The sequence below is a fragment of the Homo sapiens genome, chromosome 11 (genome assembly GCF_000001405.40).
Source record: "Homo sapiens chromosome 11, GRCh38.p14 Primary Assembly".
Lineage (NCBI taxonomy): Eukaryota > Metazoa > Chordata > Mammalia > Primates > Hominidae > Homo > Homo sapiens.
In genome coordinates this window covers 28,320,330-28,340,549 of record NC_000011.10, presented here as the reverse complement: position 1 = coordinate 28,340,549, position 20,220 = coordinate 28,320,330, and the positions used below count along the sequence as shown (strand labels likewise).

The 20,220-nt window shown below is 33.9% G+C and overlaps 1 protein-coding gene across 11 annotated transcripts in view; it reads right to left on the bottom strand.

Annotated features, from left to right (window-relative positions):
- METTL15 (methyltransferase 15, mitochondrial 12S rRNA N4-cytidine) overlaps positions 1-20,220 on the bottom strand; it is a 424,088-nt gene that overhangs the window by 191,926 nt on the left and 211,942 nt on the right. For 8 of the 11 annotated variants that reach the window (NM_001113528.2, NM_001297775.2, XM_011519940.4 and 5 more), the window contains one exon: positions 7,043-10,154. The exons of 2 other annotated variants lie outside the window; for them this stretch is intronic. In NM_001113528.2, the coding sequence (NP_001107000.1) occupies positions 9,709-10,154 (446 nt within the window). In that variant the 3' untranslated portion in view covers positions 7,043-9,708. Of the gene's footprint in view, positions 1-7,042; positions 10,155-12,384; positions 12,456-20,220 lie in introns of those variants that run through there. One more of the 11 variants, NM_152636.3, reaches the window with a different exon arrangement.

Here is a 20,220-nt window from a genome sequence, read left to right as displayed (position 1 = left end):
ACATAAACGTCTTCTTTTGAGAAGTGTCTGTTCATATCCTTTGCCCACTTTTTGATGGGGTTGTTTCTTTCTTGTAAATTTGTTTAAGTTCCTTGCAGATTCTGGATATTAGCCTTTTGCCAGATGGATAGATTGCAAAACTTTTCTCCCATTCTGTAGGTTGCCTGTTCACTCTGATGATAGTTTCTTTTAGAACAGCAAAAATTTTTATAGAGAGGGCACATCGGACTATGTAGCTTATTTTTTAATACAAGCATATCATTTAATTTGAATTTAACTGAAATTAGAGAGTAATGGATTGCTCAATCTAGATTTTTAGTCAAAAATGCCTTGTCACCAAAATTATAAAATGTACAAAAATGTTGGAATCATTTTTAAAATGATTTAAAAATGATTCCAACATTTTGACAGAATTGAATCCTTGTTTCTTAAAAACAAATTAGTGTACGTATACTTCTCTATCTCCTGACCCTTCAGCTTCATAATTTCAGTGAGCTGCTAGTTTTATATTTTCAAGCCTTGTGTATTTTGCTTTGTAACCATAATTCTCATGATTGTTTACTCTTAGTTCTGTATTTACATGGATTCCGAGCTTATCACAGTTCTTTTTACCAGACAACTTCTCCCTTACTGATTTTTTGTTTTTCACATCTTGATTTGCTGGATTTTATCATCGAATAGTTCCCCTTTCCCCCCTACTTTCTCCTCCTCATGGCTCATGTGACTTTTATTCCTTGAGAATGCCTCTTTCCTTTCAACTCACAGGACTTTTTTTCTTCAACTTTGATTTGCAGCAGGTTTTACTATGCTGTTCCTAGAAAGTTTGGGAGCTTCTTGGATCTGTAGTTTGATGTCTTTCATCAGTTTTAGGAAATTCTGTCACTTTCTCTCCAAATATGGCTTCTGCTACATTGTTGCTGTTGATTTTGGTCATCTCTCTTTTTGGGAGGCCAATTACACCTGAGTTAGACTTCTCATTTTAACTTTTATGTCTTTTGTACAGTTTTTTTTTTTTTGCATTCTCTTTATGTCTCATTATGCTTTACTCTAGATATTTCCTTCTGAAATATCTTTTAGTTGATGATTTTTAGTTGTGTCTAATCTGCTCTTAAACCAATCCATGGAGTTCTTAAAGTTGAGTACTATACTTCTCAGTTCTAGAATTTTTATTTTTTATAGTTTTCAGCTTTTTAATTTCCCTGAACTTATGTACAGCATTGTGTGTGAATCCCTCATGGGTATCTTTTTTATTATATGTATTCTTCATCTTTTAAAAATCACATCACATTTCTTCATGACTGGTCACTTTTTGATTTAGTGATAGACAATAAATATGAACAATTACAGAAATTATTTTAGAACTAGAACTTTTTCCCCAAAAGATTTTAAATAGCTTTTGAAAGGCACTTAGGGACTCTAGTGTCTAGGATCAATTTAATCCAACTTCAAGGGCTAAGATGATTTAAAACTGAGCTCCAATTCCTTCAAGGTCCAGTTTGGTTTCAAATTTACATGTACTTCCCAAAAGACTATCAAAAGTTCCTCTTAGTTTCTCAGCTGCCTTTTCTGAAACTCACAATTGGCAGCTACAAATGCTGATCTAACCTCTACGTTTTTTCCTCCTCCAAGATCTTTTTCATTCCTTATTAGCTCTCTGATGCTTTCACCTAGATTTCTTACAAAAAATATTTTGTCCAGGGTTTCTAGTTGTTGTAAGTGGGATGGTTAACCCGAATTATCTTGTCATTACCAAAGCTGAAGTCCTGGTTTGTAATTTGAAGTCAATTTTAACACCTTGATTCTTGCTGGTTTAATACCTACACTATAATAAAAAGTTTCTTTTATTTAAATCTAGGAAGACTCCAAACTCTGTTTCTTTCATTATTGTTTTGATATCTCTCATCCACTCTGTGGATGATCATGGAGGGATTTCACAGTATTACCCTCACTACATGCACATTCCTAGGACTAACTACCTTGTAAACAATTCACATGAGTCACCATATGGCTACGGAATAGAGAGAAGATGATTCCGTGAAAGAATCAGTGTTAGAGAGACAAACTGATTTTGGAGGACGCAATGGAAAAAAATATTTTTATGGAAGGATAAACATGATCAAATCTTGTAGAGATCAGGTAGCTAAAGATGGTGATTAGGGTGTTGGGCCTGGTAACAAAACCAACATTAACTATTAAGAGAAGATTTCTATAAAGAATACCCTAGAATAAATTTAAAAATTGATGAGGAGTTGGAGGCAGTGTAGATTCTTTAAGAAATCAAATTATGAAAGAAAACAGAAAATAGGTGGTATTTTGGTAAGAAAAACAGTCAAGGGTTTGCTTTTAGCATGGGGCCCTTTTGAAGATGTTTGCAGGCTGAGGGAAAGACACTAGCAAAGAAAGGCTTAAAGACTGCAGTTGCAAGTAAAATTGACTGAACCAAGTCTTGGTGAAGACAGGAAAAAAAAAAAAAAGAAGCAAAGATAAGCTTTCTGCTGAAACACAGGGGTAAAAAGTAGGGATAAAGGAAGAGATTTATAAATGCCCAGATGAAAGTTAAGGGGGTGGGAATTAGAGGAATCCAGTTCTGATTAACATCTATTTCTGGGTCTGTAAAAGGAAAGATCAGCTCTAATTGTAAGTACAGGCATTGAGACATGGGTCATTAGGCAATATCCTTGTGTCAGCAGTGTACTTACATAAACCTAGATAGTATAGCCTTCTACACACCTAGGCTAAATGGTATATAGCCTACACAAACCTGTATGGCATGTTACTGTATTGATAATGTAGGCAATTGTAATACAATGGTATTTGTGTATCTAAACATATTAAAGATACAGTAAAAATACTAAAAATACTGCATAAAAGATAAAAAAAGGTGCACTTACTATGAATAGTGCTTGTATGACTGGAAGTTGCTTTGAGTCAGTGAGTTGTGAATGTTAAGGCCTAGGACATTACTACACACTACTGTAGACTTTATAAACACTGTATACTTAGGTTACACTAAATATATAAAAAATATTTTTCTGGCTGGGTGTGGTGACTTGCACCTATAGTCCTAGCACTTTGGGAGGCTGAGGTGGGAGGATTGCTTGATTGTTGATTAGGGTATTGGGCCTGGTAACTGCTTTACATGCATGTCTCAGTCCATTTTTATTTCTACAAAAATTTTATTTCTATAAAACTCAGGAGTTCAAGACTGCAACAAGCTGTGATCCCATCACTGCACTCCAGCCTGGGCATCACAGCAAGACTCTGTATCTTAAAAAAAATTAAAATTAAAACATAAAAAATTTTATTTCTTCAATAATAAACTACTTTAGCTTAAAGTAAGTTTTTTACCTTATAAACTTGTTGACTTTCTTACTCTTTTGTAATAACAGAGCTTAAAACACAAACATGCTGTACAAAAACATTTTCTTTATATCTTTTTCTATATTTTTTGTATTAATTTTTAAATTTACTTTTAAAACTTTTTAGTTAAAAACTAAGCCACAAATGCACACATTAGCCTAGATGTACATAGGGTCAGGATGATCAATATTACTATCTTCTACCTCTGCATCTTGTCCCACTGGAAGGTGTTCAGGGGTAATAATGTACATAGAACTGTCATCTCCTATGGTAACAATGCCTTCTTCTGGAATACCTCCTGAAGGACCTGCCTGAGGTTAACAGTAATGTTTTTAAAAAAATAAGTACAAGGAGTACACTCTAAAATAATGATAAAACATAGTAAATACATAAAAAAGAAACATAGCCATTTATCACCAAGTATTATATATTGTACTGACTGGCAGTGCAGGTTAACAGCAGCAGCATCACAAACATGTGACTATTACGTTGCCCTGTGATGTTACAATGGTTAAGATGTCACAAGGTGATAGGAATTTTTTAGCTCCATTATAATTTCATGGGGCCACCATTGTATATGTAGTCCATTGTTGACTAAAATGTTAAGTGGTGCATGAGTGTAGTCCACCTATCTTCCACCAGTTATTTTCCCTTTAAGACCTGCAACACACACTTTTATTGGTCCTTTTTATTGGCCTCTTCTCACTGGCTTTAGAGTGCAGAATTAGAAAACTCTTTCATAGTCCTGCAACAATCTTCCATCTAATATCTCACAAATTACTCATTTCCTTTTCCCCCTCAATATGTATTTTGGAGAATCTGACTATAAAGACTCTGTAGGTTGGCCACTTACTGATATGAAGGTGGAGGAGGACAAATACTTTCTCTTACCTAAATGAATGCCAAATAACTTCAGCAGCCGGCTCCTCTTATCCCATCTTTTCTTATAAATGGAAACTCCACAAGAGCAATGACTGTATTTTATATACCCTGTCAAGGTGTAGCAAATACTGGGAGTGTTTAATAAATAATACATGGGAGTGAAGTTCCCAAATAATAAAACAGACTATAACCCTATCAATTCCTGCTAGTGATGCAGACGCTGCACTTAAAACTACTAAGGGGGGAAAAAAGACATCTTTAACCATAACGTCCAGAAATGTAAGTTAGATTTTGGTAAATCTTTTCCAGCAAAATAATAGCACTATGTACTCAGTGAGTGTTTACTATACGTCCAGAACTGTGCTAACTGCTTTACATGCATGTCTCAGTCCATTTTTAATTCTATAAAGAACACCCAAGGCTGGGTAATTTATAAAGAAATTTATTTCGCTTATGGTTTTCTAGGCCATACAAGAAGCATGGCACCATCAGCTGCTGGTAAGGGCTTCAGGGTGGATCCTCTTATGGTCGAAGGCAAAGGGGAGCTGGTGTGTAATCACAAGGCAAGAGAGGGAGCAAGAGAGAAGAGGGAGGAACCAGGCTCTTTTTAACAACCAGCTCTCTGGGAATTGATACAGCAAAAACAATTGTTACTATGAGGACAGCATTAAGCCATTCATGAGGGACTCTCTCCCATGACCCGGACATCATTTATTAGGTACCACCTCTAACATTGGAGGTTAAATTTCAACATGAGATTTGGAGGGGTCAAATAAAGCATCTCCAAAATACAGCAGTGCATTATCTCATTTCATTCTTAGAACTTTCAGTTCATAAACATTTATCTTCTATTTGATTCACAGCAACATGAGAAAGTACCAATAATATCCACATCTTAAAATGAAACAAATGAGAATTCAAGAGATTAAATAGGATGTCCAAGTTCATACATTCAGTTATTACATGTAGATCCGGAATTCAAACCCTCGGTTTTCTGAGTCCCCAGCCAATAGCGTTATTCACAATACTATACGGTCTTCTCCTCAACTTAGCACCTATAAGACTTGAATAATAAGACTTTTCCTTGTGAAATTATGAGGAATCCTATCATTTGATGGCTTAATAATACAAATCTTCACCTGTGCAAGGCAGACAAGTGTTATTGCTCAAAGCATAAAGATGGGGTTTAACGAACAGAAATAATTATTCAAGAATCAAGTGGAGCATGTCCTCTTGTTTGATTTCACCTTTGTATTCTAACATTTGAGCAATGATATATTTAATAGGACAACAGCTAATAGTAGAAAACTTGTTCAGTATTTAAAGTAACATTACCAAAGACACAATCTCCTGCTGTGCATATTGAAATATTAAATTTTCTTTACTTTGTTGCCTAATAATTTGGGCAGATTATGAGAAGGAAGTGAGGTGGCCAAAAAGTCAGTGACAAGCATTATAAATTATGACCATTGTATGTTGTACAATTCTTCATTTTAAATGTTTTTAAAATTTTATGCTGCAACTAGACTTTAAAAAAATAATTTATATGTAAACTTTCTCTTAGCATTCCTGCAGATCATCCTGTGTTACCAAACATTAGTTGGATATAGTAGCTATAAACAGATAAGATTTGAGAAAATAATATAAAAATAGCTGTGTTTGTTATACAACCCAGCCTCTTTAGAATATAGGGTTGATTTTTACAAACCATACTTCAATCAACATCAAACATATGGCATTGTGGTTATGAGAAAAATATATCTTTGATCAGAGTTTCAAATTTATATTTATCAAGCACCTCACAAAATTCTCTTTATGTTTAAATGCTTATCCCTGTCTATTATAGAATGCTGCTACACAAAAATATCAATTAGGATACTGAAGCAATTATGAAAACTAAATAGAAAAATAATTGCAGTAAAATAAATTTTACAAAATTTTAACCAGAAGCAATTTTTAATTTAGTTTTTAATCTATTAAAAAGATTCTAATATGTAAGGCTTAGTTTGTCATGGTATGTGCCAAAATTACCTAATATTTCTTTTTCCAGAGATAAATTGAAACATAATTAATGTCACCTCAAATTTACATACCAATGTGAACAGAGAAGAAGGGATGGTATATAAAAAGAGGGAGAGTGGTGAAAAAGGTATTTTTTTATTTCTTCCTAAACAGTTAGCTTCTAATATACGCTTGAGTACATATATACATATATTTTTCTCTTTTTTTAGCCATTAAGTCCCATTAAGAACTGTCTCATACTTTTTGAATGACAGATTTCAAATGAAAGTAAAATTATTTTTTAAAAGTCTGCAGTACAGATTCATTATCTCTACTTCTTAAAAACAAAAATTAGAAACAAAAATTTTAAAAACCTTAGGTATGTAATACTCTGCAAAGACTTAAGAAAATATGATTTTCAAATATTTGCAAGTGAATTTTAAGAAATATTAGTTCATTTAAAAAATCTAATTAGGCATACTGTATTCTCTTATAAACTACTGCTTGTAGCACAACAAATAGTTTACTACAATGAATTTAAGCACAAATAATATATCATATACTACATGAAATAGAAAAGACATATAGATATAGTGTCTTTCAAGAACACCCCTAGAAACTTCAAAGAACATAGTAATTAATATACAATTTTAAAAATAAAATAAAAATAGGGATATTATCTAAAAATTGTAGTTATTAAATTTTATTTAAGTAATGAACTAAAAACTGTTAAGAACTGATGTACTACACAATGACATTGATACTATGTTAAAATGATTCATAGAAGGCAGTCAAGACAGAGATTCAGAAACATTTTATTAGAAAAGTAATGCGCATTCATAGTAACATTAGCTTTTATTTCTGTGTACTGTAGGAACTTCCCAAAACCATTCTCCAAAGCTAACCATTTAAAACTCATTCATGTATTTTATTATGCATCCTACAACAAAGACTAAGAAGCAGGCAAGAATTACTATAAAACACAATCTAATTACAGAAAAGTTAATTTATTTTTACATGAAAACATTTTGAAACCAATTTTGTGTTTATTGAAGGATTTTTCTCATGCATATTATCCAAGATTTTTTTCTGTCAGAGTATTAGCTTCCTAGGATTGCTGTAACAAATTACCATGAACTGGGTACCTTAAAACAGCAGAAATACATTCTCACTGTTCTGGATGCTAGATGTGCAAAACCATGTTAGCAGGGTTGGCAACTACTGGAACTCTGAGGGAGAATCTATTCCATGCTTTTTTCCTATCTTCTGAGGGTTCCCACAATGTATCACTCCAATCTCTGCCTCCAGCTTCATGTGGCATTCTCCCCTGTGTCTCTATCTTCTCTTTCTTCCTTTTTTTTTTTTTTTTTGAGACAGAGTCTCGTTCTGTTGCTCACACTGGAGTGCAGTGGTGTGATCTCGCAACCTCCACCTCCCAGGTTCGAGTGATTCTTGTGCCTCAGACTCCTGGGTAGCTGACATTACAAGCACCACGCATGGCTAATTTTATTTTTAGTAGAGATGGGTTTTCGCCATGTTGGCCAGGCTGGTCTTGAACTCCTCAGCCTCAAGCGATTTGCCTGGCTTGGCCTCCCACAGTGCTGGGATTACAGGCGTGAGCCACCATGCCCGCCCTATCTTCTCTTATAAGGAACACCAGTCATATTGGATTAAGGGCCTGCCCTGCTCCAGTATGACCTCATCTTAGCTACTTACAACCACAACCACAGTATTTCCAAATAAGGTCACATACTGAGGCTCCAGGAAGTACATGAATTTTGGAGAGGACACCATTCAACCCAGTACATTCAGTTTCTATTTAACATAAAAAATAATTCCCATACTATACAGGGTGAAAAAATGACTTATGAAATAGGTGAAAGATTGTTGAATATACAAATGTGATCTTTTCTTTTCCAATCACATACAGAGATAAGAATTTTTTGGGAATATGTCTCATTCACAAATATGTATTATATGCAAAGAGAAATTTATACAATGTTCAAGTAGGATTCAGGGAATTAACCTAGGTGCATTCTCTTGTTTCTATTTCAACCATATTGTTCTCCAGATTTTTTTCCTAATTCTGATTTCCCTGTAGGATTGTTCAGATTTAAATAAAGCCTGTAAAGCAGAAGTAGTGAACAAGCCTGGGTACTAAAGTTAAATATTACAGAGGCAGATAAAATAAGTCTGAGGAAAATTCATGCATTTAATTCTATCTATTTTGCCCACATAGTTATGCTGATATTTCATTCACTTGGATTCACCAACCTAAAATTTGTAACTATAATGGAGAATCTTTTTTCTGTATTTGAAAAAAGTGCACTGAGCAAATTAATAGTATAAATATGATTTCAAGGATAACTAAGAGAATATTTATTTCTATGTATGGTTAATCAACATGCCCCCTTCCATACTCCATGTGCCCTTTGACTAATTATCTCCAACTCATCTTTCAGGTCACAATTTAAGTATAAATAATAAATTAGAAGTACATATTACTATAAAAAATTGACATGTGAATTATGAATCAATCTCCTCAATTTGTTAAAGAATCTTCTACCAAGTACTCTTTTCTTGAATAAACTTTTACCCATATTACAGTTACCATATCTTTGTAACAACATTAAGGGAGCATTGATTTTACTATATTAAATAGACAGTTTTCTATTTCAAATAGACTTGGCTGAATTATTTTGATTAGCTCAATTAAAAAATACAAGATTCTAATAAGAGACTTTATTACTTACTAAAGGCATTGTGAGCTATTATTAAAATAAATACAATTGACATGAAATATAAGTTTTGTGAAACAATTCTCTGTAAGGATTTTACATTTTTACTTTGCGATAGATGAACAAAATGGCCCATATCATACTGAAAAATCCCTTTAAAATAATAGACTATAATTTGAAAGATGAAATTTTATCAGTATAACACACATTTAAACTAATATTTTAAAATTTAAAATTTGTAAAAAGCCTACATTTGAGAAAGCTAATTATTCACAAGTAGGGACATTAAAATTCATTCCATAATCATCATTATTTGAGCCACAGAAAGACTGATGCAAATTGGAATATCTAAATTCAAAATTTAGGACATGCAGATATGATTACAACATCTTTCTCTTTGGTAGCTTGAGTTTACGTATTTAGATAAACACAACACAGTATTATTTTTTAAAAAATTTCCTGGCCAGAGGAAGGATTGCCTTCAAGAGTCCAATATGATGCAAAGATTAACATATTTTTCCAGTCTGGAGGTGCTGCTGCTCCCTGAGTGTAACTTTCTCTGTCATGTATTTCCTACAGTTTCTTTTTGAGAAAAAAGAAATGCTAAATGCTATCAATTTTCAGACTGTCCCACACTTAAACCTATACCAAGACATTCAGGGACATAACATGAGTAAAGATTAGAGAAATTGTGAGAAAAAAATTTGAAGAATAAGATGATGATAACTTATAATTTGATAGCTGCTCTAAGCTTGGCTGAGCGCCCTCTGGGGTTATCTTGTACATCCTGATCTTGTGGACTAAGTACCTTCTTGTGTATCAATTCCCACATTAAAGGAGCTCTTCTCATAGAGACTTCTTCCGTGTTTTCGTGATCTGAACCCAATTGAGATGTTTTCATCACTTGTTGTCTAACACTTAGGTTAAATCTTTCTGTCATGCTTATTCCAAGCAAAAATCTTTTGACGATGCGATCCTCTAGTGAATGGAAGGAGAGGGCAACAAGACGACCACCAGGTCTCAGAAACTTCTGAGCTGTCTTCAGTCCCGTGTAGAGTTCATTGAGCTCATTGTTCACAAATATGCGAAGAGCCTGGAAAGTCTTGGTGGCAATATGGGTAGATCGCTGTAGTAAGTCTTTCCGTGTATAAATAGCAGAGGGAGGAAATGCTCCTAAAACAAATGTTGTAAAGATAGGAAAAGAAGACCGGTAACATTAATATTTTTCACTGTAAATCTAATGAATTGTGTAGTTGTGTGCATATTTAGTGAACTAAGTTTTCTTAGAAAATTGTGGTGGCACTTCATTCATACTTCCCCCTCTTATTCCCAAACATTCTTCCAAGGTTTAAAACTATGTGGCAAAAAAACCTTTCATAACTCATAAGGATAATTGGAGTTTAACAAGGAGCACAGAAAGAGAAATGGTGGACATATATTTAAAGAAATAATAACAAAATCCTTCTCAAATTTGGTGAAAAACGTTAACTCAAAGATGCTCAATGAAGCACAAATATAATAAACAAAATGGCTGCACATAGGCATATCATAAAACTACTACAGCCAAAGATAACAACAAAAAAAATGCCAACAGAAAAGAAAATTCATTACATAAAGAAGAACAAAAATATTATTAACAGCTAATTTTTTATGAGCACACTGGAGGCCAGAAGATAGTGGAATAACATAAACAGTGTTGAGAAGAACACTCTGTTTACGAAGAAGGCTAAGTCTACTAAGATATTTATTCAAAAATAAAGGTTCAAAGACATTTTAAAATAAATAAAAAGTGAGACAATCCACTGTGAATAGGTCTGCATTCAAGAAATTGAAAGGAAATACTTTTAGCTGAAATAAAATGAGGCCATGTGATCATTTGGATATACAGATAGGAATGAAGTGATAAGGCCATAGCTATAAAACATTTTTGAAATAAATTAAAGACCTATATAAATGGGAAATTACTGAATGTTCACAGATTGGAAGACTTAATTACTGTATGTTCAAAGACTGGAAGATGGGAATACTACCCAAACTGATCTAAGATTTAATATAATCCCTATCAGAATTCCAGCTGACTTCTTTGTACAAATTAACAAGCTGATTTTAAAATTCATATGGAATTGCAAGGCACCTAGAACAGCCCAAATAATCTTGAAAGAAAAAAAAGAATAAAGTAGCAGGACTTACATTTATGAATTTCAAAGCTTACTACAAAGCAATGATAAGACAGTGTGGTACTGGCATAGCAACAGACATAGAGAAAAATAGAATGTAATTGAGAGTCAAGAAATAAACCCATACCTATACAGTCAACTAATTATTGACAAGAGTGCCAAGACCATTCAATTGGGAAAAGCCTTTTGAACAAATGATGCGGAGGCAATTGGATAGCCACATGTAAAAGAATGTAATTAGACTCTTACATCATATACAAAAACAAACTCAAAATGGATCAAAGACCTAACTGTAAAAGTACAAACTATAAAACTCTCAGAACAAAACATAAGGCTAAATCTTAATGACTTCGAATGTTGCAAAAGATTCTTAGATATGACACCAAAATTGTGAACAACAAAAGAAAAAATTAGATAAACTGGACTTCATCAAAATTAAAAACCTTTCTCATTCAAACAACACCATCAAGAAATGAAAGACAAGTCAGAGAATGGGAAAAAATTTGCAAATCATACATCTAATAAGGGACATGTATCTAGAATATATAAAAGAAGTAAACTGCAGAATACATGTATATTATTTATATCATATTTTAAAACATGCACATCAAAACAGGTATGTCCCATCTACTTCAATAATTGAGATAGGCAAAAATTACTAATTTCTAAATAAACTAATAAATATAATTTTCCTTAAGCTTATAACCACTGGCATACAAACAAGATATTAATGTATAATGTTCAATAGATTTATACAAAATTTTTTCCTTGATTTTGTACCATGCTCCTGAAGAGTATTATCCCATAGAGAAGTAGTGTTTCTAGTACAGATTTGTTCTTAATGAAGATCTCAGAAAATAACTGCAATCTTGGCATTTTAATCTCCTTAGCATGTTTCTTAAAGAAAAGTTAATTATACAAGGCTGGCACCTTAGTTCACATTTCAGTAATCTAAACACCTAGTAGTAAAGATCAGGCATAGCAGATTAATATTCTTTGGAAACTAGATCAGAGACGGAAAGAAATAATATCTTACATGAATCACAGAATTGAGAACCTGGTGGTTTAAAGTAAACCAAATCAGTGTGATGGTTCTTTCCTCTATAAAAATTACTTTGCCAAAAGTCTGGAGAATGTTAGACACTAGGGGATTTATCTTCCAACAACCAGGTCTCTCAGGAACATGATGTCCATATCAAAACTGAAAAGGAAGGCCAGCTTCTTACCATTTGCTATTCAATTCGTCCATTTTCCTAATAAAGAGTTTGGGCCACTGGGAAATATGTTTCAGAGTATTCTAAGAATATGAACAAACATATATTTTCATGTAAAATAGGAAGTAAACATTCATGGAGCACATAAATCAATAAGAACTGCAGGATATTTTTGCTATAATTTTTTTAAAAATTTCTTAGCATTATCTTTGATATTTTGCAGAAATTAAAATGATGGTTCAACATAACTGCTTAACTTTATTGACATTTTAATGCAGAATCTCTTAATTCATAAAATAGAAAGGCAGAAAGCTCAATAAATGTTTGCATACTATTTTCAGTAAATGTGTTTTGTAAAATTAATGAAAATGGAATGTTTCATAACAAAACCAAAAAAATAACAAAATAGTATCTGAAATAACCATGTAGTTCTAATATAAACAACAGCATTGGTTTATTTGACATTAAAGTTTGTTAGACATTTTGGCTTACTAGCTAAAATAGCACCTTCCTGTGGCAGAAGGATGGACATAATTTATAATTCATTTAGTTAGCTAGCTGTCAAACGATGAGATTCCTAATTCCTTTCATTTGATGAAATCAATTTTCAAAGCATTCACCCAAAGTGATAATTTATTAGTATTTTATATTATAGAATTTCAAGTTTATATAAATCATGTTCACATTAAGTATATCCCCTAGTATATATGAATCTGCAGCTGACAAATTAAAACCACTGCAATCAGACAAGCTTTTCTTTATAAGATCTACTTTGGCCTTGCCAATGTCATAAAGTCATGCAGAATGGATATAAGAGCTTTCAGCTATATTTGGGAATAGATGGTCTTAAAGATAATAGGGGAACTTTAATCTATGAAGCTTTCCTTCTGGGGCCTTCTCACTTTTGTTTGGGGAATTTTGACCTGCATTATGTCTGATGGATTTCCTGGAAGACGTTTCTAGATGTCGTCCTGTCAACCTCACTAAGTCCCATCTTTAGGGACCAAGAGATGACAAGAGGTCTGCAATGAGCAATGTGTTTTGTGGAGCTTTTTTGGTACTTCTCTGGGGGATCAAAGGCACATATCTTCCCTTATTTTAGATAGGTTAAACTTCCAGGGCTATCCTTCCTTTATACTGGTACCTCATGTCTGTAATTTTTAGGAAGAAAGGCTGTCAAAGCAGATCGTGTAAAATGAAATTAAAAAGAAACAAAAGAATATAAAATAGCATGTGATGCTGGGCACGATGGCTCATGCTTGTAATTCCTTTAGGAGGGAAGGATTTGGGAGCACTTTGGGAGGCTAAGGCAGGCAAGTGGCTTGAGCCCAGGAGTTCAAGACCAACCTGGGCAACATGGTGAAACCCTGTCTCTACAAAAAAACAAAAACCAAAAAACAAAAACAAAAACAAAAACAAAAAAATCCTACAATTTAGCCAGGCACGGTGGTGCATGCCTGTAGTCCCAGCTACTCCAGAGGCTGAGGCAGGAGGATCATCTGAGTCTGGGGAGGTTGAGACTGCAGTGAGCCATGATTGCACCACTGCACTCCAGCCTGGGCGACAGAGTGAGACTCTGTCTCAAAATATATAAAAATTAAAATAAAATGGCACGCGATAATGGAAATTAAAGTAGTAAGAACAAAACATCGACTGGCAATGGGACACATGGATAAGAAAAAATAATCCAACCACAAAGGATTAGCAAGGTTCTATGAATTATTAAGCTTAAAGACAATAAAAGTTCTGTGCCTCTGAGGAAGGAAAAATGGTTTTCTCCTGAAAGTCACTGATCAGAGAACAAGGAACAGAGTTATCTTAGGAATGCACAAACTAGGTAAGAACAGCTGGCTCCTGATTTAATCAAGAACACAAGATAAAAAAAAAAAACTAACAGATTCAATGCCTACTCTTATGCTGGACTCTGAATGAGGCCACAGGGAGAAAAATATTAATAAGACAGAAAAATGGTCCCCGCCCTTGAGGAGCTCACTGTTTTGCAATTCTTCTTCACCTCCTTCTCATCTCCCATATACTGTTATCAGAAATAGAAACTTATTGTTCTGCTTTTTCATCTCCTGAGTTTCACCACAGAGTCTAATATGGCTAATTCATTTGATTAAGGAATAGAGTAGGTAAGATGGAAAATCACAATTTGTGTCATTAGGTTTGATGAGAGAAAATCTCCTTTTTGTGTGTTATAGTCCATCAATGGACTTTGTTAACCTAGTACCAATATACATGAGAAGAGGTGTGCTTACCCCTAGTATAGCACTTATCATACTCTTCTGTAATTACTTGTTTACTTATTTATCTCACTCATTTGACTCTGATCTCCTTGTGAATAAGAACTATTTCGCGTTCACTCTTATATCCCTAGTACTTGACAGAGAAGCTTGTGATTCTTAATTCTGACTGTACATCACAGTCACCTGTGGTGCTTTTGACAAAAATGCCTGGCTCCACTCCAGATCTACTGAATTAGTTTCAGGGGTTTATTACTCAGGAATCACTACTTTTGAAAAGCTTCACAGAGGATTTTGACATGCAGCCAAGATTAAAAACTACTTTAGAAAACACTCAATAAATGTTTGTTGAAAAGATAATGAATAGATAAATGAAAAAAAATGGATGAATGAATGGATAAAAATCCAGGATCATTAGTACAGTTTCATTCACATCATCGGGTGTGTACGGCCTGTGTGCCAAGCCTGTATATCAAACCTATGTGCCCAAAACTTATGTATAAAGCCTGTGTGTGTCTATTGCACCTATGTACCCAAAGCTTCTATGTATAACCTGTGTATCCAAGACCTATGTCTTGCTCAGCCTAGCGGGTGGAGTTTAAGGAACATGGCTGTGCTTTGGTCAAGGATAGGCCGAGGTAGGATGTTTACATCTTGCATGACTCAGTGAGTTCAGAGCAAAGGCATATAACTTCACTTGTTATCACAGCCATGTAGCCGTAACATGGGAAGGCCATCACTTGGTTCTATGCCAATATTGTCTGTAAAAGGTATAATTGCCCTGCTGACACTGTGCAGGTGCAGCCACCCAGAGAAAGAGAGAGAGAGTCAGAGCTGTCCATCTTTGCAGACAGAGAGAGGGGAGCCAGGACAAAGCTTGGCTCGCTCATGCCCAGAGAAAGAGTTAAGCTGCTGACCCTGAAGCCAAGGGAATGTCAGCCATGCAGCTGCAGGCATGGGGGCAGCAGGAGCCACAGGGCAGGAGCAAACAGCTGAAATAAAGGCGAACAGTGTAGAGAGCTAGTATAAGAAAGCTGTCGATGAGAGCTGCTGCTAAATAAAATCATCTTTCACCTGCCTACGGCCCCGATTGTTCTTTCTACTTATCCACCCACTCCCTTCAGACCTCGGCATGGCATTTGTTGTAATCATGAACCTGACAGCGTGGGTCTATAAAGAGCACAATATTCGGTCATATCAATAAGTGACTAAATGAGCAGCATCACAATTTTAGTCACAAAAAGCATTATGAAAATACTTTTTAAATGTCATGATATGGGTCCAGTCCTCTATGCTACTTTTTGGCTAAATGTGATCATGGGAACCAAAGTATGATTTTTGTTGGAGCAAGTGAACTCTCAAATTTGCCAGCAATTTCCCTGTCTCAATACAACTGATTGCATGCACTTAATTATACCTGATAATGATTGAGAACATCCTTAATTAATCAATTATTTGTACATGCAATGGAGCACCTGCAAATAATTTTAACCTCAGAAAATCCAAGCTTGGAAGCCTTTATTACCTGACATAGGGGAAATGTGCAAGGTGAACTTTGGTTTTGCATATTTCTTTTGCAGAAAAAAATGAGACATGATAATATAATGGTAAAACTTGGAAATTTAAGTTTTAAAAATCCTCAATATCTTCAGTGATTTAAGTTCAAGTTTTTCCCCAAAGATTAATGCACAATATTGTTAAGATTTCATGTAAACTTTTTTCACTTAACAACTATAAAATCCTAAACCACAAATTTTCTCAATTCTTCAAAATAGCAGAACTGTTTCTTCCTTATACTTTAAAATAGAAAAATTTGTTAGTAAAACTGACTACAAAAGGAAATTAAAGGCTAATGTACATTTAATGGGAAGATGTTTTCATGTTAAATAAACTTTTAAAAGTAAGCGTGCACTAAACCCAGTATGGGAACAAGTTCTAATTTCAATACAATTTTGAGACATTATTTGGCACTTACTTCTCTCACAGTAATGCTGGGAAAATTCATGGCATAAGGGATTGACCCTAGCTGTGAAAGAAAATTGTTAACAAGTTCTGCCTTATTAGAGGCACTCCATTCTCACATTCCAGATCAGGTTTGTTGATGGTGGTGTATTTTAAGACTCTTGACAGTTTTATATCCTTTCTGTTTTCTTTGTCTCACATCAGCAAATTCTGATGGCTCTGCATCTGGGATATATCCAGAACCCCACCACTTCTTACCAGCTCTACCACTATGACTCTTGTCCAAGCCATCATCTTTTCCACACATCCACCAGACTGATCCTTTTAAATACAAAAATTAATCATGCAAACACCTCCAACATCCCCTGACCTTGCTCTTAACTGAACCTTGGCATGGTCCTGCCTAAGTCCTTTGACCTGTACTTAGAAGATCTACCTTCATAGCCCTGAGTGGCTTACTCCCTACTTCATTCAAGTCTCTTTTCAAATATCACATAATACAAAAGGCAGTCTCTAACTATGCTTATGAAAAACAGCACCATGTCACTAGTCCCCTTACCTTGGTTTAATTTTCTTCATAACACCTTATCAGAAACAAATATTTATTTGTTTACCATCTGTCTTCCTCCACTAGAATACAGACTCAGGTAAAATAGAGACTGTATTCACTGCTATAAAACCTTTGCACCAAGAACAGTTGGTGGATTGAAAGAATGACTACATTTGTACTTCCAAGTTATAAACACAGTCATTGTTAAAAAAAAGAAAAGAAAAAAAAAGCCAAAGGAAATATTATCATTTGTATATGAAGTCAATAGTTAATGTCACTACTCTTTAAATTCTTTAAATTCAAGAGGCAACCAAGAGGTATACTTCCTTTTTTCTTCATACACATGTATGACAAAAATACATATAGGTGTATATGTGCATATATATACATATACTTATAAGAAACGAATCATCTGTAAAATAATCTACAACTTAGTTTACTTATCTTTAAAAACTAATTTCAGTTGTATAAATGCATTATAATTCATTTTGTTTGTCCATTTAACAAATGTTTGTAGTGTCAAGTACCAGCCAACTGGAAACACAATAGTAAATAAGATAGAAGTGGTCTCTTGTGGAGCTCACATTGTCACCGCAGCAGGAACATTTAGGATGGTTTTTATTTTTTCCATCACAATAAAATGATGCAATAAACGTGTGAACTGTACATTTTATAATCCTACATAGCAGAAAAACTCTACAAAGTAAAATGACAGTCACAGTCTGGGAAAAATATTTGCAACTGTATGTGAATCTTGTATGTCACTTGGAGTTGTTAGGTCAAAGGGTAGTTATGTCCACTTAAATTTGGATCAATATTTCTAAATATACTCTCTAAATAGATTATACCAATTTACTTCCATCAATAGTATATGAGAGTCCATCTCCTCACATCCTTACCAGTACTAGAAGCTATCACTCTTTAACCCTGACTAGTCTGATAGTAGGTAAATCTTAGCTTACCGCTGTTTTAATTTTCATTTCTTTGGCAATTAGTAAGGTTGGACATCTTTTCAAATCTAATAGCCAGTTGATTCCAGCTAGAAATTGCTTGAACAAATCCTTTATCCATTTTCCTGATGTGATGTTGGTCTCTGCTTTATTGATTTGGAAGAGCTATTTATAAAATAAGGATATTAACCTTTTGTCAACTATTTACATAGTTAAAAATATTTTTTCCTGAACATTTGTAAATGTCTTTTAATTTTGTAGAGTTTCTGCCATTCAAAAATTAAACATTTTTATACAGATTTCCAAGTAGTTTTAGGTTTTATTAAATTTAGGAAGGTTTTTCCCACTCTAAGATTATAGATATAATCAACTCTATTTTTTGATATATTTCTGGTTTTATTTCTTATATTTGAATATTTAATCCACACAAAATTTGTTTTTTAGTATATGAGGTTCAAATCTAATTTTTTTTCAAAATGACATAGTCAACTTATTTATTAAACAGTACATTCTTTTCGTACCCATTTGAAGTACCCTCTTGATCATATACTACATTTCTATATACAGATGGATCTGCTTCTGGATTCTCAATTGTGTTCCATTGATGCGTTTCTCCTATTTTTCTGCAAATACCACATTATTTTAATTATTATTAAATATCTTTTCCAGTAAGTTTTGCTATCAGGTGGGGCAACCTTCTCCCCATCATCTTCTCCTCCACCAGCCCACAATCATCTTTCTTTTCAACATTCTTTTCAAAATTATCTTGCGTATTCCAATGTATTAATTGCTCCAAATTAAATTTAGAATCAAAGTATATAAAAATAAAAATTTTGATTGGAATTATAGTAAATGTGTAAATTTATTTGTGTAAAATTTATCATAATGTTGAAGCAATGCATCCAGGAAACATAGTATTTCCATTAATATTTTATATGTCTGTTATTAAAGTTTAATAGTTGTCTTCACTTAAGTCTTGGTTATGTTACATGCAAGCACTATGTTTATGCATATACATTTTAATCACTCCTATGAAAAAGCATAAAAAATTATAATACTTCTATTAACAAAACATTGTGTAATGGAAATGTCACTGACCTTCAGAGAAAGGGCTCTAAGTTCAATTTTCAGATCATTCACTTTTTTTATGGCTATTTGATGTGGGGTAAAACACTTCTGAGTTTCTCCATTCTAGGATGAAATCATAACACTTCTCACAGGATTATTGTGAAAATCACGTTAAAAAATGTTCAGAAGCATTTAGTGCATACTGGGCATAAAGTACTCATTTTATGAATGGCATAACACAGTTACTTATTCTTCTCAGTTGTAAAATGGAGTAGGTAGGAAGGGGATTTGATATGTTAATTTAAAGGTTCTGCCAAGCTTATTCTACTTTCAGCCTGGACTAATGGAGAGCGGGTAAGATAAAGGGCTATTGAAAACCCCTGAAGCATCTGACTAATGCTTATTCAAGTTAGGTATTGGACTAAAAGATTTCAGCATCCGAAATGAAGTATAAAATTTTCCTAATGTATAAATTAATGGAACATTCTCAAATTTACAAAGTAGTACTTATGTTTTAAAAGTATAGAGACTTACAATGACTTAAGTATGAAAAAAATTGTCTTTAAAAAAAAATGTTAGTTTTACCCTATTTGGTAATTGATGCTAAGGATTTTAAGAGACCAAATTTCATCAGCCTAAACCTTCCAGGTTGTATTTAAACCATCTAGCTAGAAGTTTATTTTCCATAATTAAACTTCTAGATTTCTCTTGCCACCTGAGATATACAACTTGTATTTGGGCATTTTAAGAATGCATTTTTGTTTTTTCTCTATTCTTTTCTTACTCCTGTGCCTAGTTTTCATGGAGCACCTTTCTGCACAGGTATTTTTTTTGGGGGGTCGGGGGCACAGGGTCTCACTATCACCCAAGCTGAAGTGCAATGGCATGACATAGCTCACACTGCAGCCTTGAACCCTGGGATCAAGTGATCCTCCCATCTTAGCCCCCTGAATAGCTGGGACTATAGGTGAGCACCACCACACCCAGCTAATTTTTAAATTTTTGTGTAGAGATAGGGTCTCGCTACGTTGCCTAGGCTGGTCTTGAACTCCTGAACTCAAGCGCTATTCCT